We start from the raw sequence: 21,865 nt of genomic DNA, 5'->3' as shown, positions 1-21,865 counted from the left end.
CCCACCACCGCTCAGACGGCTGAATATCCCCCCGGCCCGCTCGCCAAGTCTACAATCTTTTCGAGTTCCTCCTTTCCTCCTCTTTCCAGCCGGTTTCCCGGCCAGGCCTGGCCCTGATTTTCCGGGTGGCGCTCCCGGATGCGGCCGGCAGGTGGCGCTGCGGCCGGGCAGACGGCGGGGTTGCAGACCCGGAAGCGCTCCAGGCCACGACCCCGCCGGAAGTGCTGCTGCCCCGAACGGCGCTGCAGGTCCCTAGGGGCGGCCAGTAACACGGCGAACTCAAAAGTTGAGTTGGGAGCACAGACATCCCCATGCGCAGGCCCAGGCTGGGGCGGAAGGGGACGCGAGGCAGGAAGGGGCTTCAAGCGAGCAGTGGCAAGGCTGGCGCCAAGCTGAGGGCCCGGCCTCCCAGCCCAGGGGGTCTCCTCCGTGGGAGGGGTCCCGCAGCTGCCTGGGTGCCAAATCCCCCGCGACCCCTCCACCCAGGGCCCTCTGTGGTCCCAGGCACTCCTCCCACCAGTCCCCAGCGTCACCACCACAGAGCCAGGTGCATCGGGTGTAATCACTTTATTGGCTTTTGGAGAGCAATGGAGGGGATTAATACCTCATCTTTCCAAGTTAAAAGACTAAGACTGTTTCCAAAAGACTCCAAATAAGAAACTTCTCCTCAAAGTACAAGGATAATCTGAATCATCTTAAACCAGCAATAAAAAAGTAAAATATAAATTTTTATTTAGAATTAAAGCAAATACTTCAGTATCACAAACACAATATTAAACTTCAAGAAATACACCGCTAATTCGGAGTGAGCGTTTATTTGCACGATTACAACATGCGGACAAACCCAGGCGAGATGAGCGAGTCTACGGTTCCTACCCACCCGGCTGACAAGGGGTGGCCCCAGGGGCCGGATGCCCAGCCCCGAGGCGGCCCTACTCCTCCTCCTCTCCCGAAGACTCTCTCTCGAACGTGTAGGCCATGAAGCAAGCGTCGGGTCTCTTGGGGACAAGGGGATGCCCCGGTCTCACAATCTCAAAGCCCAAAAAGCTGAAGGTTCGGAGCAAGGCGGCTGCGGGGGAGAAGCCGTCAGAACCCCTGCCGACCAGAACCCCCCGCCCGCACCCCCCACCCCCGCAGGGAGACCGTGCCTGCGGGCTGAGAATGAAGGGGCGGCGCAGGCACCCCCACGCACCCTACTGCAGGCGATACGGGTCACCTACCTCTGTCCTCGCGGTTCTTGTGGAAGCAAATGAAGACATGGTCGGCTCGCAGCTGCTCCTCAGCGAACTCCAGGAGAACTGCAAAGCTGCAGCGAGTGTCAGCGTCTCGGCTGGCCCGACCCACCTGCCTACCTCCTGGGCCTTAGCAGCTACCCTGAGGCCCGCTCTACTCCAGGGTCCCCCTGGGGCCCAGATCGTCCTCTGGGTGGGGCCGTCCTGACACCACAGTGTTGAGCAGCACCGCTGCACCCACCCACGTGCATGCCCCATGACAGAAAAGCTCTGACACTGCCTGGCATCCCTTGGAGGGTAGAATCCCAGGGTACGAATTTGGAGTGCACTTTTTAAAAAGGGACCCCAGGCCGGGAGCGGTAGCTCACGCCTGTAATCCCAGCACTTTGGGAGGCCGAGGTGGGCGGATCACGAGGTCAGGAGTTCAAGACCAGCCTGGCCAACATAGCGAAACCTCGTCTCTACTAAAAACACAAAAATTAGCTGGGCATCGGTGGCGGGCGCCTGTAAGCCCAGCTACTCGGGAGGCTGAGGCAGGAGAATCGCTTGAACCCGGAAGGCAGAGGTTGCAGTGAGCCAAGATCATGCCACTGCACTCCAGCCTGGGCAACAAAAGCAAGACTCCATCTCAAAAAAAAAAAAAAGGGGGGACCCTGTCCCCACCAACAAAGCGATGGTGGCCCCCATATGTGCTGCCTGAAGGCAGTGCCCTCCCTCATCTGTCCCTGCACCCCTTGGGCAGCAACCCGCACCTGGTCCCTGCTCCCCTGGGTGAGCACTCCCCGCCTGTCCTTGCCCCTCACCTGGTCCCTGCTCCCCTGGGTGAGCACTCCCTGCCTGTCCTTGCCCCTCACCTGTCCTTGCTCCCCTCGGGCAGCGCGCCGCCCGGGATCTCGATGTAGAGGCTGCCGCCACTCAGCACTGTTCGCCAGTTAATGCGTTTGGCGTCTGTGAGCCTGGACTGGACGTTGAGAATCCTCGTCTTGTCGTTGGACGTTAGTTCCTCTGTTACATTCAGCCGATCATCCTGTCCAGGGGGTGCAGCCCAATTCAGAACCCTGACTCACCCCACAGGACTCCAAGAACCCGGCAGCGCTAAAGCTTGGGCCTAGGCCGTGTTGAGCTCAGGCAACGCCTGGGCTGCAGGAGACTGTGCGCCGGCTCTGATGAAACTCAGGGTTCCCACGATTACATTCAATCACAGGTACGGGCAGCAAGGTGCACAAGAAAGTACCTGTGGCCCCAGAGCAGCCCCAGCAGGCCCGGCCCCATACTCACGGAGTAGAATAAGTTAGCTGAAAGATTGTGATCCCTCTGACTATTCCCTCGCCCACCTGGGATCTTCAGGGGTGGGTGAGGGGCATCAGGAGCACCACCGAGGCCCCGGACCCGGGTTACTACAGCAGTGGAGGGAGACCCTGGAACTGAAGATGATGCAGGTCACGAGGCAGCGCCAGGCTCCGGGCGGAGACCCCTCCAGGGCGTCCGGGCGGCCTTCAGCACATCCCCACCCCTGCCTCGGCCAAAAGACCCCGCCCCGCCCAGGCAGGGGCCCACCCGGTCCCACACCCCCGAGGCTTCCCGAAGGCAGCTCCAACGCCTGCCCCAAGCACCTACAAGGGCAGCAGTCACTGAGCCCCGACTCCTCGGGCGGCGCCGCCCAGGACAGCCCAACCTTCCCAGGGCGGGGGGCCCCTTCCCCTCACGCAGCCCCGCCGGGGCAGAGCCTCACCCCCCGGCCACCAAGACAGCCAGCGCTTCCCCTTTTCAGTTCTGTCGCGGCTTCCCCTTTCCACCCTGCACTACGGCCAAAATCTGGGACTCTTGCTTGTCCCCGCGAAGACCGGGCGGGCCTAGCCTGACCTCATGGAGGACGCGCCCCGCTCCGGCTCCCGGCCGCCCGCCCCCCCGCCCCCGCTCCAGGCCCGGGCCCTCCCGGTTGCGTCATCCAGGCAGACGCGGCCTCGCGCCCCGGGGGAGATTTTCACAATCGCGCAGCCGGCAGCGCCAGCAGCCATTTGCTGCGCAGGGTAAACAGGCCCCAAAGTTGCCTCCATTTTGCACGGCCCCCAAACCGCGGCACCGCCAGCACCGCGGCCCAACCTCCCGATCCGGGGCTGAGCGACGCCCACCTCGGGGGACGCAGTCGGGAAAGCTCGACCGAGACCCCGCGGGCTCCCCCACAACCGCAGCTGGCACCCGCGCCCCCGGAAGCGGGACGCGTCTTCCCGGGAAGCGGCGGGGGTCTTCCCAGGGCGCTGCCGGGCTGTCGGAGTGCGCCACCCCCAGCTCCCCGGCGGCCCCCGCGGAGAAGCCCTGGGTGCCGTCTACGTGCGCGGCCTCGCCCGGCGCGTCCCGGGCCATCCAGACCGACTCGCTCAGGGGCGAAAAACGGGGCCCACGAGGTCCGTCGCGTGCAGGGGCCACATCGAGGCAACAGGGACCCGCGGGAGCTCGTCCACCGCAAAGCGCTCCCCGCTCCCGCAGCGCACGCTCGACGGCCGGGACCGAAAAGTGCAGATTCACCAGCCCCGCGGGCCCTGCCTGTCCGCGGACCAGCCCCCCAAGGCCGACCCCGCCCCCAACCAGATTGCCCCATCCTGCGCCTCCCAAATCCGACCCGACCGCACACCCTTCCTCCAAACCGAATTCCCAGTCTGCGCCCCGCAAATCCAACCCTCGACCAGAAGCCTCTCCCCTCCTCCGAAGCCGAGTCCCATCCCGCGAACCCCGCAAAAGACACACGCCTCCCCCGACTCCCCGTCCTGCGCCCAAATCCGACCTCCGACCCATGCCCCTCCCGCAAATCAGGCGCCCCGGACGGTGCCCCCCAAATCCAACTCCGCACCCTTGCCCCCCAAACCCGACTCCCCCGAGAGCACTGCTAAGGCCGGGGGGGACCTCCAGGCCCGCCCTGCGCCTACCTCGTCCCCGGCGCGATTCTGGCCTTGACAAAGGGGCGGATCTCGCGCGCCGGGGACCTATCTGGCGCCCCGAGGACGGCCCCCCGCAGGCCTGCGCGGCCGGCGCTTCTGGAAGCTTCGGACGGGGGCGGGGCACTTACCTCTCACTGCTGCTGCCGCCGCGGCTGTGCAGGCTTAGGAGCGGCATGGTGCGGCTGGCGTGGATGGTGGCGCTGGGTTTATCCCCTTCCTTCTCTCTGGCGAAGCAGTGGCTATTGAGGATCCGCTGCAGGGAGGATTTCACCATCCGGCCGCTGGGGTCCGAAACCAGGAAAACCTCCGCTGCGTCTCTCCGCGCCGCCGCCGCTGCTCGCCGTTCGCAAAATGGCGCCTCTGCCGCCGCCCGCCTTTATAGATGCTGCGCCCAGGCCACGCCCCCCGCGCCGCCGGGAACGCGACCGCACGAGGGGCAGAGCCGCGGGGCCGCCGGGAAAAAAAGTCGCGCCCGCCCCTCCCAGCGCCTGATTGGTGAAAGGGAAAGGGAAAGGAAGAGGCTCTCTGGAGATTGGTTGGTGAGCCTCGGGCCACGCCCCCTCCTGCGCGCGTCCTTCTGGGGGCGGGGCTGCCGTGGCGCCGGGTACGCGCTGCGCGCGCCCCGAGCCGTCCCCGCCCCCACAATCGTGCCTTGGGGGCGGGGGCGGCTCGCTGGGGCCGATTTTCGGGGGTCTTCGAGTGCCCGTTTGTCTGTCGTGGTCCACGTCGCCCTCCCTAGGGTCCCTTCACGCAGCGGGACCCCTCCCCTGGGTAGGCCCCCGGGTGCTTGGGGGGTTGTCCAACCGCGCCAGAATTATTTCCAGTAACACCTGGTAATCATCGATGATATTACTGGTTTTATTTTTTTAAATTTGGTCTTGCAGTTCTTAAAATGCTTCCAGTGTTTAAAAAAAAAGAACTTCCAATGTTAAAGATATTCAAATTTAGTAAAATATTTCGTGTACAATTTGGACTTAAGCAAAAATTTTACTCCTTGCAGATAAATTCAGATTTTTCCTGTGGAAACTGAAACTTACCCTAAGGAAAAACACTACTCCTGGCAGTTAAAATTCAGAAACACATCTCATGTATGAACTAAAATGTGGATCTCCCAAGGAAAAAACGATTTCTTTGGTGGTCAAGTTCGGTAAACTGTTTCGCCTGTGAGGTAAAATGTGGACTTACCTAGCAAAAATATTTCCCCTCCTGGTTAAATCCAGAAAAAAAATCTCAGGTATGAACTGCACTTTGCTTTTAATAAGCAAAGATATAACTCTTGGCAGTCACATACGGGTACATAGCTTGTGTGTAGACTAAATTATGAATTTAGCAAAAAGTTGCCACTTTGCAGTGAGGTTTAATAAAATATTTTTTATTTCATGTATAAACAAAATTTTGTTCTTACCAAGCAAAAATGCTACTCCTGGCAAATCCTGATTCCTTTCATGGTTTTAATTTTGTTTTGTTTGCGACCGGGCCTGGCTGTCACCCAGGCTGGAGTGCAGTGGCGCAATCTCGGCTCGCTGCAACCTCCGCCTCCCAGGTTCAAGCGATTCTCCTGCTTCAGCCTCCTGAGGAGCTGGGATTACAGGTGCCCGCCACCACGCCCGGCTAATTTTTGTATTTTTAGTAGAGATGGGGTTTCACCATGTTGGCAAGGCTGGTCTGGAACTCCTGACCTCAGGTGATCCGCCTGCCTCGACCTCCCAAAGTTTGGGGATTAACAGGCGTGAGCCACCGCGCCTGCCTGTCTTTCGAGATTTCGTACTGCACCAGAAGGCTGTTGTTGCATCTCTGCTACGAGCATTCGCTATTCAGGTGTTGAGGCAGAAATTAACTCCTGCGGTTGACATTTGGGGCCGCCCTGGGCACTGCAGGGCGCTGAGCAGCGTCCCTGGCCTCCACCCACTCCATGCCTTGAGCACCCCCAGTTGTGACAACCACAAGTATCCGCAGACATCACCCAGTGTCCCTTGGCGGGGGCAGAATCACCCTGGGTGAGACTCCCGAGTTAGGGGATTCCACGGACCCCCCCAAGAGACTCTGCATCCCATGATCCTCTGCCCTGCTGAGGTCCCAGGAGACTGCGCACGTTGAAATCCACACCTTGAGGCAGAGGTTGCAGTGAGCTGAGATGGCGCCGCTGCACTCCAGCCTGGTGACAGAGCGAGACTCTGTCACAAAAAAAACAAAAAAAAAGCAATCCACACCCTGAGTGGGGAAGGAGAGAGGAGAAGCATCCCAGGAGCTGGGGGCCTCCTGGTTTATACCGTTTGCCCCATTAGGAGTTTATCCTGAGGCTGGGCACGGTGGCTCACGCCTGTAATCCCAGCACTTTGGGAGGCCGAGGCGGGTGGATCACGAGGTCAGGAGTGCAAGACCAGTCTGGCCAACATGGTGAAACCCCGTCTCTACTAAAAATACAAAAATTAGCTGGGCATGGTGGCGCGTGCCTGTAATCCCAGCTACTCAGGGGGCTGAGGCAGGAGAATTGCTTGAACTGGCACCCGGGAGGTGGAGGTTGCAGTGAGCCAAGATTGCACCACTACACTCCAGCCTGGGCTACAGAGCGAGACTCCATCTCAAAAAAAAGGAGTTTATTCTGGTGTCTGGTGTGAGCAGAGAACAGACTCTGTTTCAAATAATTAACTCAGGGTCTCCTCCCTCGGACCCGTGGACATTGGGCTTGGATTGTTCTCTGGGGTGGGGCATCCTGGGCAAATGGTATGAACCAGGAGGGCCCCAGCTCCTGGGATGCTTCTCCTCTCTCCTTCCCCACTCAGGGTGTGGATTGCTTTTTTTTTTGTTTTTTTGTTTTTTGAGACGGAGTCTCGCTCTGTTGCCAGGCTGGACTGCAGCGTCCTGGGCACTGCAGGGTACTGAGCAGCGTCCCTGGCCTCCACCCACTCCATGCCAGGAGCACTCCAAGTCATGACAACCAGAAATGTCCCAAACATCATCCAATGTCCCTTGGGGGCAGAATGACGCCCCTAAGTTGAGGACCTCCTCTGGGAACAGAGGCAAGAGCCTGCTCGAAATGAACAGGTCACCGGTGCGATTTCCAGAACAGCCACGACCAGGGAGCCCCATCCCTCCATCCTGACTGCAGCAGCTCTCACTTCCTCCTCCTGCCTGCCTCTGATGGCCGCCTGCCAATGCTGTGAGGCTTCTAGAAGGGCCACCCCCACACTGGCCAGGCCACGTGGGATGAGCGCTAGGATCAGCAACTGCGCCCTGCTGGCCCACCTGGCCGGGTTCCCCAGAAACTCCCCAGGGTGGGAGGTGCTTTGCTGGGAGCTGGGGAGTCTGTGACTGGTGAGGGGCCTCCCGGACAGCAGGGAGAGAAAGAGGCATATCTTTCTCTGGAGGTGGTGAGGCTTGAACTGTCTGAAAGGGACAGCAGAGGATGTGGGGTGGTCAAGGATAGAGGGCCCATGCCTGGGTTTTCTTCTGAAATCAAGGTTGAGGGGATACGGCTGCTGGCAGAGGACGCAGAGAGTATGACTCTGATTGATTGATTGATGGACTGATTTTTTTTTTTTTTTTTTGAGACAGAGTCTCACCTGTAGCCCAGGCTGGAGTGCAGTGGCGTAACCTTGGCTCACTGCAACCTCCACCTACAGGGTTCAAGCGATTCTCCTGCCTCAGCCTCCCGAGAAGCTGGGACTACAGGCGTGCACCACCATTCCCGGCTAATTTTTGTGTTTAGTGGAGACAGGGTTTCACCATATTGGCCAGGACGGTCTCAAACTCCTGACTTCATGATCTACGTGCCTCCCAAAGTGCTGGGATTACAGGTGTGCCACCGCACCTGGCTGTTTGGTTTTTGAGACAGAGTCTCACTTTGTCACCAGGCTGGAGTTCAGGGTCATGATCTCGGCGGCTCACTGCAACCTCCCCTTCCCAGGTTCAAGTGATTCTCCTGCCTCGGCCTCCCAAGTAGTTGGGAATTACAGGCTCACGCCACCAGGCCCAGTTAATTTTGGTATTTTTAGTAGAGACGGGATTTCACCATATTGGTCAGGCTGGTCTCGAACTCCTGAACTCAGGTGATCCACCCATCTCACCCTTCCAAAGTGCTGGGATTACAGGCGTGAGCCACCGCACCCGGCTGACTCTGATTTAAAAGAGGGTATGTGGGCCCGGTGTGCACTTTGGGAGGCAGAGGCAAGAGGATCGCTTGAGCTCAGGAGTTCAAGACCAGCCAGGGCTACATAGCCAGACCCCATCTCTGCAGCAAATTTAAAAATTAGGGACATGGTGGTGCACACCTGTAGTTCCAGCTACTCCAGCGGCTGAGGCAGGAGGATCCCCTGAGCCAGGAAGGTCAAGGCTGCAGTGAACTATGGTCTCTCAACTGCACTGCAGCCTGGGTGACAGAGGGAGACCTTGTCTCTAAAAGAATTATAATAATGAGTTAAATAAAATAAAATGTAAACAGGTAAAAATAAAGAAGGATTGGGGCCGCGCACAGTGGCTCACGCCTGTAATCCCAGCACTTTGGGAGGCTGAAGCAAGAAGATCGCTTGAGCCCAGGAGTTGCAGACCAGCCTGGCCAACATAGCAAGACCCTATCTCTAGGTTCTCACTTTGTTGAGAATTTTAAAAACTTCTAGAAATTTTAAAAAATTAAAAAAATTTTAATTAGCTGGGATTGGGTGGGCATCTGTGATCCCAGCTACTTGGGAGGCTGAACCAAGAGGATCACTTGAGCCCAGGAGGTCAAGGCTGCAGTGAGCTGTGATCACACCACTGCACTCCAGCCTGGGGGACAGAGCAAGACACTGTCTCAAAAAAAAATGAAAGCAAGCAGGAAAATGGCCAAGCGTGGTGGCTCACGCCTGTAATCCCAGCACTTTGAGAGGCCAAGGCAGGCGGATCACGAGGTCAGGAGATCGAGACCATCCTGGCTAACACGGTGAAACCCCGTCTCTACTAAAAATACAGCAAAAATTAGCCGGGTGCGGTGGTGGGTGCCTGTAGTCCCAGCTACTCGGGAGGCTGAGGCAGGAGAATGGTGTGAACCCAGGAGGCGAAGCTTGCAGTGAGCCGAGATCGCGTCACTGCACTCCAGCCTGGGTGACAGAGAGAGGCTCCATCTCAAAAAAAAAAAAAAAAAAGAAAAATCAGGAAAATAAGGCAGAATCTGGGCCTCCTTTTCTCCATGTGTTCCTGCCTGGCATTATATTCAAGCCTGGCTCTGTCTCCTGAAGAAAAACTCAGAAGGCGCTTGAACTCTTTTGAGCAAACAGTGTGGGGAAGAAAAAGGGAAGTAAACAAGAACCGGCCTTTTTTTTTTTTTTTTTTTGACATGTCGCACAGGCTAGAGTGCAGTGGCCACTCACTGCAACCTCCGCCTCCTGGGGAACCGACCATTTTTTTTGAGACGGAGTCTTGCTCTGTCACCCAGACTGGAGTGCAGTGGCGTGATCTCGGCTCACTGCAACCTCCACCTCCCAGGTTCAAGCGATTCTCCTGCCTCGGCCTCTCAAGTAGCTGGGATTACAGGCACAGGCCACCACGCCTGGCTAATTTTTGTATTTTTAGTAGAGACGGAGTTTCACCATGTTGGCCAGGATGATCTCGATCTCTTGATCTCGTGGTCTGCCCGCCTCGGGCTCCCAAAGTGCTGGGATTACAGGCGTGAGCCACCGCGCCAGGCTGAACCAACTTTTTTTTTTTTTTTTTTTGAGACGGAGTCTTGCCCTGTCGCCCAGGCTGGAGTGCAGTGGCACAATCTCGGCTCACTGCAACCTCCGCCTCCCGGGTTCACACCATTCTCCTGCCTCAGCCTCCCAAGTAGCTGGGACTACAGGTGACCCCCACCACACCCGGCTAATTTTTTGTATTTTTAGTAGAGACGGGGTTTCACCATGTTAGCCAAGATGGTCTCGATCTCTTGACCCCATGATCCACCCGCCTCGGCCTCCCAAAGTGCTGGGATTACAGGCGTGAGCCACCGCGCCTGGCCTCCAACTGACCATTTGTAATGTGCACCGTGCAGCCTGCAATAAGCTCAGGCCACAAGGAGGCTGTGCAGGGCCAGGGTTTGGCCACAAAGCCGCAGAGGCATCTGCTGCTGGGTGATAAAGCAGGACCCACAGCCGTGTGGGCAGCCTCAGGATGAGCTGGGCAAACACACATGGAAAAGCGAGGCCCCCAAGTAAACAGGGCTTATCTCGAGCAAGTTGTTGTTTTTCCCTTTACCGTACTTATATTTCTTTTTTTTTTCTTTCAGACAGAGTCTCCCTCTGTCGCCCAGGCTGGAGTGCAGTGTCACGATCTCAGCTCACTGCAAGCTCTGCCTCCTAGGTTCACGCCATTCTACTGCCTCCACCTCCTGAGTAGCTGGGACTACAGGCACCCGCCACCATGCACGGCTAATTTTTTGTATTTTTAGTAGAGACGGGGTTACACTGTGTTAGCCAGGATGGTCTCAATCTCCTGACCTCGTGATCCGCCCGCCTCGGCCTCCCAAAGTGCTGGGATTACAGGCGTGAGCCACCGCGCCCGGCCTCTTTTTTTTTTTTTGAGATGGAGTTTCACTCTGTCCCCCAGGCTGGAGTGCAGAGGCGCCATCTCAGTTTACTGCAACCTCCACCTGCCAGGTCCAAGGGATTATCGTGTCTCAGCCTCCTCAGTAGCTGGGATTACAGGCGTGCACCACACGGCTGGCTAATTTTTGTATTTTTAGTAGAGATGGGGTTTCACCATGTTGTCCAGGGTGGTCTGGAACTCCCAACCTCAGGTGATCCGCCCGCCTCGGCCTCCCAAAATTCTGGGATTACAGGGGTGAGCCACCGCGCCCAGCCTATATTTCTTATGGTTTTGCCCCTTGCTATAATTTTCAGGATTTTATTTTGCAGTATTTGTCATGTTTATTTTATTGTATTTTTGTAGAGATGGGTTTTCACCATGTTGCCCAGGCTGGTCTCAAACTCCTGGGCTCAGGTGATCCTCGTGGCTCAGCCTCCCAAAGTGCTGGGATTACATGTGTGAGCCACCGTGCCTGGCCTAATGCATTCACAAAGGTTTGTTATAGAAAAAGGAAGAAAGCTTTATGCGCAGAGCATCTGAACCTCATTCTCTGCGGCTCTTCAGTATTTCCTGCCCCACATTGTCCATGTCTCTATTTTCATGGAGTTTGACCTTTACTTTTGTAAATTTTTTTTTTTTGAGACGGAGTCACCCAGGCTGGAGTGCAGTAGCGCAATCTTGGCTCACTGCAACCTCTGCCTCCCGGGTTCAAGCACTTCTCTGCCTCAGCCTCCCAAGTAACTGGGATTACAGGTACCTGCCACCACGCCTGGCTAATTTCTTTTGTATTTTTAGTAGAGATGGGGTTTCACCATCTTGGCCAGGCTGGTTTTGAACTCCTGACCTCGTGATCCACCCGCCTCGGCCTCCCAAAGTGCTGAGATTACTGGCGTGAGCCACCACGCCCAGTCGTAAAATTGTTTTTTATTGTTTTTCTTTTCTTTTTTTTTCTTTTTCTTGTACAGACAGGGTCTTGCTACGTTGCCCAGGCTGCTCTTGAACTCCGAGCCTCAAGTGATCCACTTGCCTCGGCCTCCCAGGTGTGAGCCACTGTGCCCAGCCCTATCTCTTTAAAAAACAAAACAAAACGGGCCAGGCATGGTGGCTCACACCTATAATGCCAGCTCTTAGAGAGGCAGAGTCAGGAGGATAGCTTGAGTCCAGGAGTTCAAGACCTGCCTGGGCAATATAGCAAGACCCCCATTCAAAAATAAATAGATGAATAAAATTTTTAAAATAAATAAATAAATACAAAACAAAAAAATTGTAAACACACCTGCAAACCAGGAAAGGTCTATTTCTTGTTCTTGCTCCATGAGCTTCTCAGGCCCTAGGGGGCGCTGCTCACCTCCCCTGCCATCTTGAACGTCACTATGGCCAAGAGAGGAAGACCCTGGAAGATCTCACACTAGCAATTAAATGCCCCAGCCTAGAAGTCACCCCAGGAAAGGAGCCACCTCTCCCTGAGAACAAGTAGGGTGGACACAAATGAAACTGGTGTGCTGCCCTGGCAGAGGCAGGAAGTTGGCCACTGCCCAGCACTCCCCACAGTTCTCAACCTCCTGCCTCAGTGGCCCATGCTGAGGGTCCCCTGGGGGTTTCCCACTCAGGTGTTTTGTGTTCCAGAGGCTGGAAGGACCCTGCTGTGGGGGGTGTCACCATTGGGCTTCCACGGGGTGCGGAATCTCACAGCCTCAGTGGCTTCCGCACCTTTGTCATGGCAGCGATAACAATATGAGTACACAGCTCAAGCTGTGTACAGGAGCCAAGCACCTGTCCCCGTGCTTGGCTTAATGCTCACAAGGACCCCAGGAGGTGGGGTCTCCATTTTATTTCCATTTTACAGGAAAAGAAACTGTGGCACAGCCAGGCAGCAGTGGAGTCAGGGTCAGAATCTGAGTCGTCTCCATCCAGAGTCAGTGCCCTCAGCTGACACTGTTCTTCACAAAATTAGCAAAAATAGGCCGGGTGTGGTGGCTCATGCCTGTAATCCCAGCACTTTGGGAGGCCGAGGCAGGAGGATCACCTGAGGTCAGGAATTCAAGACCAGCCTGGATGACATGGCAAAACCCTGTCAGTACTAAAAATACACAAATTAGCTGGGTGTGGTGGCATGCACCTGTAATCCCAGCTACTTGGGAGGCTGGGGCAGGAGAATCACTTGAACCTGGGAGGCAGAGGTTGCAGTGAGCCGAGATTGTGCCACTGCACTCCAGCCTGGGCAGACTCAGTCTTAAAAAAAAAAAAAAGTCCAGGCCGGGCTCAGTGGCTCACACTTGTAACCCCAGCACTTTGGGAGGCCGGGGCAGGTGGATCACTAGGTCAGGAGTTCAAGATCACCCTGGCCAACATGGTGAAACCCCATCTCTACTAAAGATACAAAAAATTAGCTGGGCATGGTGGTGCGCACCTGTAATCCCAGCTACTTGGGAGGCTGAGGCAGGAGAATTGCTTGTACCCAGGAGGCAGAGGTTGTAGTGAGCCGAGATTGCGCCATTGCACTCCAGCCTGGGCAACAGGGCTGGACTCCGTCTCAAAAAAAAAAAAGATAAAAAAAGAAAGTCCCACAGAGGCCCCGTGTCCAGGCTTTGCTTCTGGGAAAGCTGAGCCTTCCAGGAAAGGAATGCAAAGGGAGACACTATGAGAATAAGAAGGTGAAAATGCTGTTGAGGCTGGGCGCGGTGGCTCACGCCTGTGATCCCAGCACTTTGGGAGGCCAAGGCAGGAGGATTGCTTGAGGCCAAGGGTTTCAGACTACCCTCGCTAACATAGGGAGACCTGGTCTCTTAAAAAAAAAAAAAGCTATTTATTTTGACCAGAGAAATGCAAATCGAAACCACAATGAGATCATGCCGTTCACACCCACTAGGCTGGCAATAAAAACACAAACAAAGAAACTGGAAAATGACGAGTTGGACGTGGAGAAGTTGGAACGCTCCTGTATGGCTGCTGGGCAGGTAAAACAGTTCAGTCGCTTTGGAAGAGAGACTGGTGGCTCTTCAAAAAGTTAAGCATAGAGACAGGGCGTGGTGGCTCACACCTGTAATCCCAGCATTTCAGGAGGCCAGGGCCGGTGGATCACTTGAGCCCAGGAGTTCGAGACCAGCCTGGGCAACATGGTGAAACACCATCTCTACTAAAAATGCAAAAATTAGCAGCTGGGCGCAGTGGCTCACGCCTGTAATCTCAGCACTTTGGGAGGCCGAGGCAGGTGGATCACCTGAGGTCAGGAGTTTGAGACCAGCCTGGTCGACATGGCAAAACGCTGTCACTACTAAAAATACAAAAATTAGCTGGATGTGGTGGCAGGCACCTGTAATCGCAGCTACTTGGGAGGCTGGGGCAGGAGAATCACTTGAACCCGGGAGGCAGAGGTTGCAGAGAGCCGAGATTGTGCCACTGCACTCCAGTCTGGGTGACAAGAGCGAAACTCCATCTCAAAAAAAAAAAAAAATTAGCTGGGCATGGTGGCATATGCCTGTAATCCCAGCTCCTCAGGAGACTGAGGCAGGAGAATCGCTTGAGCCTGGGAGGCAGAGGTTGCAATGAGCAGAGATGGCCCCACTGCACTGGAGCCTGGGCCACAGAGTGAGACTCTGTCTCATAAATAGAAAATAAAAAATTAGCTGCGTGTGGTGTCAGGCACCTGTGGTCCCAGCTACTCAGGAGGCTGAGGTGGGATGACCACCTGAGCTGAAGAGGCTGAGGCTGTAGTGAGCCCTGATTGCGCCAACGCATGCCAGCCTGGGTGACGGAGATGAGAGCCTGTCTCAAAAAACAAACAAATGAAATCATATTTTGCAGCAACATGGATGGAGCTGGAGATCATCATCCTAAGTGAAATGACTCAGCAACCACCACCCCTGTCTTATTCCAGAACATTCTTGTCACCCTAAATGAAGCTCCATCCCCATCAGCCATCACTCCCCATCCCCTTCCCAGCCCCGGCACCCACAAATCCCCTTCCTGTCTCTGTGAATTGGCCTGTCCTGGACATTTCTTTTTTTTTTTTTTTTTTTTTTTGAGACGGAGTCTCGCTCTGTCGCCCGGGCTGGAGTGCAGTGGCGTGATCTCAGCTCACTGCAAGCTCCGCCTCCCGGGTTCACGCCATTCTCCTGCCTCAGCCTCCCAAGTAGCTGGGACTACAGGCGCCCGCCACCACGCCCGGCTGATTTTTTGTATTTTTAGTAGAGACGGGGTTTCACCGTGTTAGCCAGGATGGTCTCGATCTCCTGACCTCGTGATCCACCCACCTTGGCCTCCCAAAGTGCTGGGATTACAGGCATGAGCCACTGTACCCGGCCCTGTCCTGGACATTTCATAGAAATGGGATCACATACAGCATGGCCTTCTGTGTCTGGCACCTCTCACCGAGCGTGACATCCTTAAAGTGCATTCACGCCATGGCCGCAGTCAGAGCCTCGTTCCTGTTCACGGCTGTGTCGTACTTCACCGTGTGGAAGGGCCACGCTGTGTTGATCCGTGTATCTGAGGATGGAACGCTAGAGCTGCCTACACCATGTGGCTGCGGAGAATCGTGCTGCCCTGAACTTGGGTGTGCAAATATCTGAGTCCAAGCTTCGGATTCCTTTTCGTAGATACCTAGGAGTAGAGTTTCTGCATCTTATGGTCATTCTATTTTAGCTTTTTGAGGAACTGCCAAGCTGTAATATACTTTTAGGAGGGGCCAAGCACTGTGGCTCACGCCTGTAATCCCAACACTTCAGGAGGCCAGAGTGGGCAGATCGCCTGAGGTCAGGAGTTTGAGACCAGCCTGATTAACATGGTGAAACCCCATCTCTGCTAAAAATATGAAAATTAGCCAGGCGCAGTGGTGCATGCCTGTAATCCTAGGTCCTCGGGAGGCTGAGGCAGGAGAATCGCTTGAACCCAGGAGGCAGAGGTTGCAGTGAGCCGAGATCGCGCCATTGCACTCCAGCCTGGGTGACAGAGAGAGACTCCATCTCAACAACAACAAAAAAACTTTTAGGAAGAAAAAATAAATCTAGGTTACAAACAAGATGTTCAGCCCTTCGCTAATTATGCCAGCTTTATAAAAATAAATATGGAACTAATAATAAAATCACAAGTTACAAACAGCGGAAAGAACATGTCAAACTATTAAACAGTGTCTGTTTGGGGGCGGGAAGATGACAGGTGCTTTACAGTTTTTGCTTTCAGCTTCTCTTTGTTTCCTGTTTGTCTCTGCCTTGTGTCATACAGAAAAAAATGAGAGCCATTTCTTTTTTTTTTTCTTTTTGAGACAGAGTCTCGCTCTGTCGCCCAGGCTGGAGTGCAGTGGTGCCATCTCGGCTCACTGCAAACTCTGCCTCCCGGGTTCACGCCATTCTCCTGCCTCAGCCTCCCGAGTAGCTGGGACTACAGGCGCCCGCCACGACACTCAGCTAATTTTTTGTATTTTTAGTAGAGACGGGGTTTCACCGTGTTAGCCAGGAGGGTCTCAATCTCCTGACCTTGTGATCCACCTGCCTTGGCCTCCCAAAGTGCTGGGATTACAGGCGTGAGCCACCGCGCCCGGCCGAGAGCCGTTTCTAAAGCGGAGGGAGTGGGGACCAGGGAACCCCAGCCCTTGCTTTGCTGAAGGCGGGCTGGCCTTCTGGGTCTCTTGGTAGTTCCTGGGGAGGCCCTATTCACTCAGAATTATTATTATTATTTGAGACAGAGTCTCACTCTGTCGCCCAGGCTGGAGTGCAATGATGTGATCTCGGCTCACTGCAACCTCCACCTCCCGGGTTCAAGCAATTCTCCTGCCTCAGCCTCCCCAGTAGCTGGGATTACAGGCATCCACTATCACGCCTCACTAATTTTTGTATTTTTAATAGAGACAAGATTTCACCATGTTGGCCAGGCTGGTGTCAAACTCCCGACCTCAGGCGATCCGCCCGCCTCAGCCTCCCACAGTGCTGGGATTACAGGCGTGAGCCACCGCGCCCGGCCATTCACTCAGGATTTTTAACACACAGGCCTCACCACCAAAATCCACTTCCCCTCTTCCCTCAGGACTCCCAGAGTCACCATGCTTTGCAGGTAGGGCTCAAACATCTGCCTGCAGGCCTTAGAATGTGCCTTTGGGGGCTGAGAGACCCCGGGTCCTCTCCAGAGCAGAGGCGTCAGGTTTCTCTGCATGACGGTGTGGGAGCAGGCAGTTCCGAGTGTATGAGCCTGCCAGAGCCACAGAAACAAATGACCCCAAATACAGTGGCTTTAAACAGCAGGAATGAATGCATTGCAGGGGCTCCCGCCTGGGATCCCAGCACTTTGGGTGGCCAAGGCGAGCGGATCACATGGATTACTTGCGGTCAGGAGTTCGAGAGCAGCCTGGCCAACATAGGGAAACCCTGTCTCTACTGAAAAAAAAATACAAAAATTAGTCCGGGTGCAGTGGCTCACGCCTGTAATTCCAGCAATTTGGGAGGCCAAGGTGGGCGGATTCCGAGGTCAGGAGACCGAGACCATCCTGGCTAACACGGTGAAACCCCATCTCTACTAAAAATACAAAAAAAATTAGCCGGGCGCGGTGGCGGGCGCCTGTAGTCCCAGCTACTCGGGAGGCTGAGGCACGGGAATGGCGTGAACCCGGGAGGCGGAGCTTGCAGTGAGTGGAGATCGCGCCACCGCACTCCAGCCTGGGAGACAGAGCGAGACTCCGTCTCAAAAAAAATTGAAAACTTACCGGGTGTGATGGTGCGCGCCTGTAGTCCCAGCTGCAGGCGCTACGTCTCCCTGGGTGGCAGTGGCGAGTGCTGAGTAGGAGCAATGCCCTGCCCTGCTGCAATGGCAGGGAAGGGTGGGGGACTCCCCGGCTGTGACCTCACTCCAGCGGGCATGCTGATTGGCCCACCCGCGGTCTCTGGCCACCTGTTGCCGTCCATCACGGGGCCACCCTCCCCATCCTCCGTCCTGTCCACAAGGCTCAGCAAAGCGGCTGGCGGGTAAGCGAGGCTCGGGGGTAAGGAAGTGAGGCTGGGGGAATCCCGGGCAGAGGTGTGGGCTCCCGGGGTGTGAAGGGGTGTTGCAGAGGACTGTAAGGGTCCCCAATTCCTGGAGCTGCCCCCATGCACACCCAGGGGCCACACACCAGCCTCCCATGCTTCTTGGGCCCCTCCCCCACTGCCACGCAATAGGCCCCTTCCAGGTCTTGGAGCCCCAGGGCTGGGTGGTTTTTCAGCCTAGATACAGGGACACCCTAATCCCAGCAGCCAGAGGCCATGGGGACCCTGAAGAGTACAGCTTTGGGTCTGACTTGAAGCTCCTTGCGACCTCCAGCCAATGGCACTGTCTCTAGCCTCGGTTTCCTCATCTGTCCTATGGGAACAGAGTTAGTGGGACAAGGCAGGGTACTCTGTGTCAGGATCAGAAGACCCCCAACCACAACCGGGACCCTCCTCCCCTGCCCCGGCCTGTCACGACCAGAGCCAGGATGGTTCTGCTGCTGGGGCCTGAGCCTGTAGACTCACAGGGTCACGCAGCAGGATGTGGGTGCCCAGAATGGCAAGTCAGGGTGGCCCAGAGGGAGACCCCATGAGAGCAGAGGCCTGGGAGGGGCTGGGGCACCTGTTAGCCTGTCCCGCTGGCCTCAGGCACCAGATAAAAATAGTCCCTGGTCTCAGAGAACATGAGCTGACTCTGGGGCCAAGAGTTTCGGTTTGGGGTGCGTCTGGGACTCATTGCTGTGTTGTCCTGCAGGGGCTCCCGCCCTCTCTGGGCCAGAGCAGCCTGGGCTACTGTACTGATGGATACTGGACCCCAGTGAGGCTGGGCGGTAGGGAGGGGTCCCAGGGCAGGCATGCGGGGTCAGAGAGATGCCTGGAGTGGGCGCCGGGCCATGCCTGGCATGAGTATGAATTTGCCGAGTGAGGAGGGGTGGGAGGACGGGGCCTGTTAGTTGGTGTCCGCAGAACCTCCAGGTCAGGCCCAGGCCTGTGGCAGAGACTCAGTAAATGCAAGACCTTGTTCCCCACCCCTCCCAGCCTGGCCTGGGACCTGCTGCTGCTCCAGCCATGTCCATGACAACCAGAGCCTGGGAGGAGCTGGATGGCGGCCTGGGCAGCTGCCAGGCCCTGGAGGACCACTCTGCGCTGGCCGAGACCCAGGAGGACAGGGCTTCAGGTACCCTTGTGGCGCTGGCGGGAGGAAGCCCTTCCCTGATGGTCCCCTTGAGCCAGGAGGCCCATCTTCAGAGACTAGAGCTTCTTAGCCTCCCACACTGGACTGGCTTATAGTGTGCTCCCCATGTTCAACCCCTGGCCCTCATTTCTGCCTCAGGGGTCTGTAAGGAGCCCCCAAGGAAGACAGGTGCTGGGCCACACAGATCTAGGTTCGAATCCCACGTTGCCACTGAAATGCTGGGTGTCTTTGGGCAAAGCTGTCTCCAAGCCTGTCTGCTTTCTTTATATTTTTATATATTTTTATTATTATTTTTTGAGACAGAGCCTCATTCTGTCTTCCATGCTGGAGTACAGTGACATGATCATAAGTCACTGCAGCCTTGACCTCCCAGGCTCAAGTGATCCTCCTGCCTCAGCCTCCCAAGTAGCTGGGGCCACAGGTGCAGGCCACCATGCCTCGCTAATTTTTTTTTTTTTTTTTTTTTAGAGATGGGGTCTCACTATGTTGCCCAGGCTGGTCTCAAACTCCTGGGCTCAGGTGATCCTCCCACCTCAGTCTCCCCAAAATGCTGGATTCCAGGTGTGAACCACTGTGCTGGCCTCCACCTACTTTCTTATCTATAAGATGGGGTTAGTCACCCGCACGTCACCCAGCAGGGCCAGGGGAGAGGGTGGGATTGGCCTGGGGGTCCCCACAACCTTGACTCTGCCTGTGTTCCCACAGCGACACCCAGGCTGGCCGACTCCGGCAGCGTGCCCCACGTGAGTAGCTGGGACCCTCAGCCTTTAACCCAGGACGCCTGGGGAGTTGGGGACAAGCCGACCAAGGGAGGCAGGTGTCTAAAGCCCACGGGAAGGGTTTGGCACTGGAAGGAAACATGTGGAATGTCTCGTGATAACCACAGGACTCTCAGGTGGCTGAAGGCCCCAGTGTGGACACCAGGCCCAAGAAGATGGAAAAAGAGCCTGCCGCCAGGGGGACCCCAGGAACGGGGAAGGAGAGGCTGAAAGCCGGAGCGAGTGGGTTTGCAGGAGGCATGGGTGAGGTGTGGGGTGGGAACGGACTGGTGTGAGGCTCAGGTGCCGGAGCTGGGTCCTTGGATCTTGGAGGGTGGTGTCCTGGTTGAGTGGCGTCGAAGTGTGGCAGGCAGCGAGTCAACGGGCAGGGAGCCTCTACTAATGCGTAATAATACCAGCTATGCCACTCAGCTCCGGGAAGTTACCTTCCAGAAACTCTAGGCATCCCCGTGCAGCTGCGGGGCACCCGGGGCTGGGTTCACCTGCGCCCGGGGCCGCACAGGCAGGCAGAGAGAGCCGGGTTCAGGGCACAGGCCTGTCTCTTGTCCCCTGCGCCCGGGGAAGGGGGCGGCACAGAGCCAGTGACCACAGCGCAGCGCGCACTTGCCCCCGCAGGCCCTCGGAGCGTCCCCGCGCGCAAGAAGGCGCAGACCGCGCCGCCCCTGCAGCCGCCGCCGCCGCCCCCGGCCCTGAGCGAGGAGCTGCCCTGGGGAGACCTGTCGCTCAACAAGTGCCTGGTGCTCGCCTCGCTGGTGGCGCTGCTGGGCTCGGCTTTCCAGCTGTGCCGCGGTGAGCGCAGGCTCCCCAGAGGTGGGGCGAGGCTGGGGTCCACCTGTGCGCCTATTCCTCCAAGGAAAGGCGCTGTGCCGCCAGGGTGGGGTCTGGGAGCCTCCTCTCCAGGGCTGGGTCTTGCACGCCCCCAAAGTTGGTTTGTGCATCTCCCCTTAAGTGACGGGCCTTGCGCGCCCCTCTCACCCGGTGTGGACCTTTTGCGGGGCCCATTCCCCTCGCCGCGAGTAGGTTCTGGCTTCCGGATGAACCTTGTGCAACCCCTCCTGCCTCGTAGCGTTCTGCCGCCTTTCCCCTGCGCCCTCTCTGGGGACCGCTCAGCTCGTGAGCGCCCCCCGGGGGCACTCCTGCGACCCCTCCCTTGCTAGGGGCCTCCTACAGCCCGTGGTCGGGGGGAAGAATGACCAATTGAAAGAGCGAGGTTCGGAGAAGGGGCGCCGCGGCAGCGGAGTCCCGGAGTCCCTTCCCACGGCTCGGGGGCATCCTTAGTCTCAGCCGTACCGGGGGAGCCCCACTCCAACTGTCCAGGGAGGGGGGCTCTAGGGGTGAGGGAGGGATGGACAGTGTGGACCGTGCCTCGGCCCAGCTGACTCGGGTCCCGACCCTGTCGCTGCAGACGCCGTCCCTGGGGAGGCAGCACTCCAAGCACGTGTGCCCGAGCCCTGGGTCCCGCCAAGCTCAGCCCCGAGGGAGCCATCGTCGCCCCTGGTAAGAGCTTCCTTCCACTGACCGCGGGCATTGGGACCTTCATCCCCAAGGAAAGAAGGAGCCCGGGCCGGGGGGAAGGTGGGCGCTTACCCCAGGACCCCACTCTGTCTTGCAGCCTAAGTTCGAGGCCCAGGCGCCTCCATCAGCGCCGCCTGCGCCCCGGGCCGAGGCAGAGGTCAGACCCAAGATTCCCGGGAGTCGGGAGGCTGCAGAGAACGACGAAGAGGAGCCCGGCGAGGCCACCGGAGAGGCCGTCCGGGAGGACCGTGTGACCCTCGCAGACCGGGGACCCAAGGAGAGGCCTCGGAGAGAGGGGAAGCCGCGGAAGGAGAAGCCGCGGAAGGAGGAGAGACCTAAGAAAGAGAGGCCGCGGAAAGAGGAGAGGCCACGGGCCGCCAGGGAGCCCCGGGAAGCCCTACCCCAGCGCTGGGAGTCACGCGAAGGGGGCCACCGGCCGTGGGCACGGGACTCCAGGGACGCCGAGCCCAGGAAGAAGCAGGCCTGGGTGTCCCCGAGGCGTCCCGACGAGGAGCAGCGGCCTGGGAGTCGCCAGAAGCTCCGCGCAGGCAAGGGGCGGGACTGAGCCGGCCCCGCGCCGGAGTCCAGGGGCCCCTTCTGGACGCCCCGCGACTCTGGCGAAATAAAGCGAGTGCTGCGGCCGCAGAGTCACCTGCTCCTTTACGCCTGGACCCGGCACCAAGTCCGGGGCCTGAAAGACGGTGGTGGGGCGCTTCAG

The 21,865-nt window shown here is 57.3% G+C and overlaps 2 protein-coding genes and 1 long non-coding RNA gene across 4 annotated transcripts, besides 14 other annotated features; 2 read left to right on the top strand and 1 right to left on the bottom strand.

Annotated features, from left to right (window-relative positions):
- Positions 315-564: a silencer, noted in NCBI's record as "silent region_9782". NCBI's record gives its function as "represses an Ori minimal core promoter by ATAC-STARR-seq in GM12878 lymphoblastoid cells {active_cell/tissue: GM12878}" and the evidence as "EXISTENCE:reporter gene assay evidence [ECO:0000049][PMID:35858748]".
- On the bottom strand, positions 553-4,555 carry OAZ1 (ornithine decarboxylase antizyme 1). Of its 2 annotated transcripts, none has more exon segments than NM_004152.3 (5): positions 553-1,069; positions 1,221-1,306; positions 2,087-2,259; positions 2,511-2,656; positions 4,297-4,555. In NM_004152.3, coding segments are annotated over 5 exon segments (687 nt in total). In that variant the 5' UTR covers positions 4,443-4,555; the 3' UTR covers positions 553-932.
- Positions 1,025-1,174: a silencer, noted in NCBI's record as "silent region_9781". NCBI's record gives its function as "represses an Ori minimal core promoter by ATAC-STARR-seq in GM12878 lymphoblastoid cells {active_cell/tissue: GM12878}" and the evidence as "EXISTENCE:reporter gene assay evidence [ECO:0000049][PMID:35858748]".
- Positions 1,375-1,434: an enhancer, noted in NCBI's record as "active region_13673". NCBI's record gives its function as "activates an Ori minimal core promoter by ATAC-STARR-seq in GM12878 lymphoblastoid cells {active_cell/tissue: GM12878}" and the evidence as "EXISTENCE:reporter gene assay evidence [ECO:0000049][PMID:35858748]".
- Positions 1,445-1,504: an enhancer, noted in NCBI's record as "active region_13672". NCBI's record gives its function as "activates an Ori minimal core promoter by ATAC-STARR-seq in GM12878 lymphoblastoid cells {active_cell/tissue: GM12878}" and the evidence as "EXISTENCE:reporter gene assay evidence [ECO:0000049][PMID:35858748]".
- Positions 2,714-3,053: a silencer, noted in NCBI's record as "silent region_9780". NCBI's record gives its function as "represses an Ori minimal core promoter by ATAC-STARR-seq in GM12878 lymphoblastoid cells {active_cell/tissue: GM12878}" and the evidence as "EXISTENCE:reporter gene assay evidence [ECO:0000049][PMID:35858748]".
- Positions 3,064-3,263: a silencer, noted in NCBI's record as "silent region_9779". NCBI's record gives its function as "represses an Ori minimal core promoter by ATAC-STARR-seq in GM12878 lymphoblastoid cells {active_cell/tissue: GM12878}" and the evidence as "EXISTENCE:reporter gene assay evidence [ECO:0000049][PMID:35858748]".
- Positions 3,474-3,533: a silencer, noted in NCBI's record as "silent region_9778". NCBI's record gives its function as "represses an Ori minimal core promoter by ATAC-STARR-seq in GM12878 lymphoblastoid cells {active_cell/tissue: GM12878}" and the evidence as "EXISTENCE:reporter gene assay evidence [ECO:0000049][PMID:35858748]".
- Positions 4,242-4,856: an enhancer, noted in NCBI's record as "NANOG-H3K27ac-H3K4me1 hESC enhancer chr19:2269184-2269798 (GRCh37/hg19 assembly coordinates)". NCBI's record gives its function as "activates a minimal SCP1, AML or CMV promoter by ChIP-STARR-seq in primed H9 embryonic stem cells {active_cell/tissue: H9 hESC(primed)}" and the evidence as "EXISTENCE:reporter gene assay evidence [ECO:0000049][PMID:30033119]".
- Positions 4,242-4,988: a biological region, named in NCBI's record as "NANOG-H3K27ac-H3K4me1 hESC enhancer GRCh37_chr19:2269184-2269798".
- Positions 4,499-4,988: a silencer, noted in NCBI's record as "silent region_9777". NCBI's record gives its function as "represses an Ori minimal core promoter by ATAC-STARR-seq in GM12878 lymphoblastoid cells {active_cell/tissue: GM12878}" and the evidence as "EXISTENCE:reporter gene assay evidence [ECO:0000049][PMID:35858748]".
- On the top strand, positions 4,788-5,548 carry LOC105372240 (uncharacterized). Its single transcript, XR_936242.3, has 2 exons — positions 4,788-4,939; positions 5,169-5,548. It is a non-coding gene; the product is annotated as an uncharacterized LOC105372240 (long non-coding RNA).
- Positions 7,352-7,521: an enhancer, noted in NCBI's record as "active region_13671". NCBI's record gives its function as "activates an Ori minimal core promoter by ATAC-STARR-seq in GM12878 lymphoblastoid cells {active_cell/tissue: GM12878}" and the evidence as "EXISTENCE:reporter gene assay evidence [ECO:0000049][PMID:35858748]".
- Positions 13,417-13,556: an enhancer, noted in NCBI's record as "active region_13670". NCBI's record gives its function as "activates an Ori minimal core promoter by ATAC-STARR-seq in GM12878 lymphoblastoid cells {active_cell/tissue: GM12878}" and the evidence as "EXISTENCE:reporter gene assay evidence [ECO:0000049][PMID:35858748]".
- Positions 17,624-21,789, top strand: JSRP1 (junctional sarcoplasmic reticulum protein 1). Its single transcript, NM_144616.4, has 7 exons — positions 17,624-17,658; positions 18,697-18,835; positions 19,559-19,596; positions 19,740-19,854; positions 20,248-20,421; positions 21,038-21,129; positions 21,245-21,789. Exons 2-7 carry the CDS (start codon positions 18,727-18,729, stop codon positions 21,710-21,712), a joined length of 996 nt encoding a protein of 331 aa, NP_653217.1. The 5' UTR covers positions 17,624-17,658; positions 18,697-18,726; the 3' UTR covers positions 21,713-21,789.
- Positions 17,870-17,949: an enhancer, noted in NCBI's record as "active region_13669". NCBI's record gives its function as "activates an Ori minimal core promoter by ATAC-STARR-seq in GM12878 lymphoblastoid cells {active_cell/tissue: GM12878}" and the evidence as "EXISTENCE:reporter gene assay evidence [ECO:0000049][PMID:35858748]".
- Positions 20,470-20,679: an enhancer, noted in NCBI's record as "active region_13668". NCBI's record gives its function as "activates an Ori minimal core promoter by ATAC-STARR-seq in GM12878 lymphoblastoid cells {active_cell/tissue: GM12878}" and the evidence as "EXISTENCE:reporter gene assay evidence [ECO:0000049][PMID:35858748]".

The sequence above is a fragment of the Homo sapiens genome, chromosome 19 (assembly GCF_000001405.40).
Source record: "Homo sapiens chromosome 19, GRCh38.p14 Primary Assembly".
Lineage (NCBI taxonomy): Eukaryota > Metazoa > Chordata > Mammalia > Primates > Hominidae > Homo > Homo sapiens.
This window is presented reverse-complemented; position numbering and strand designations above follow the sequence as displayed.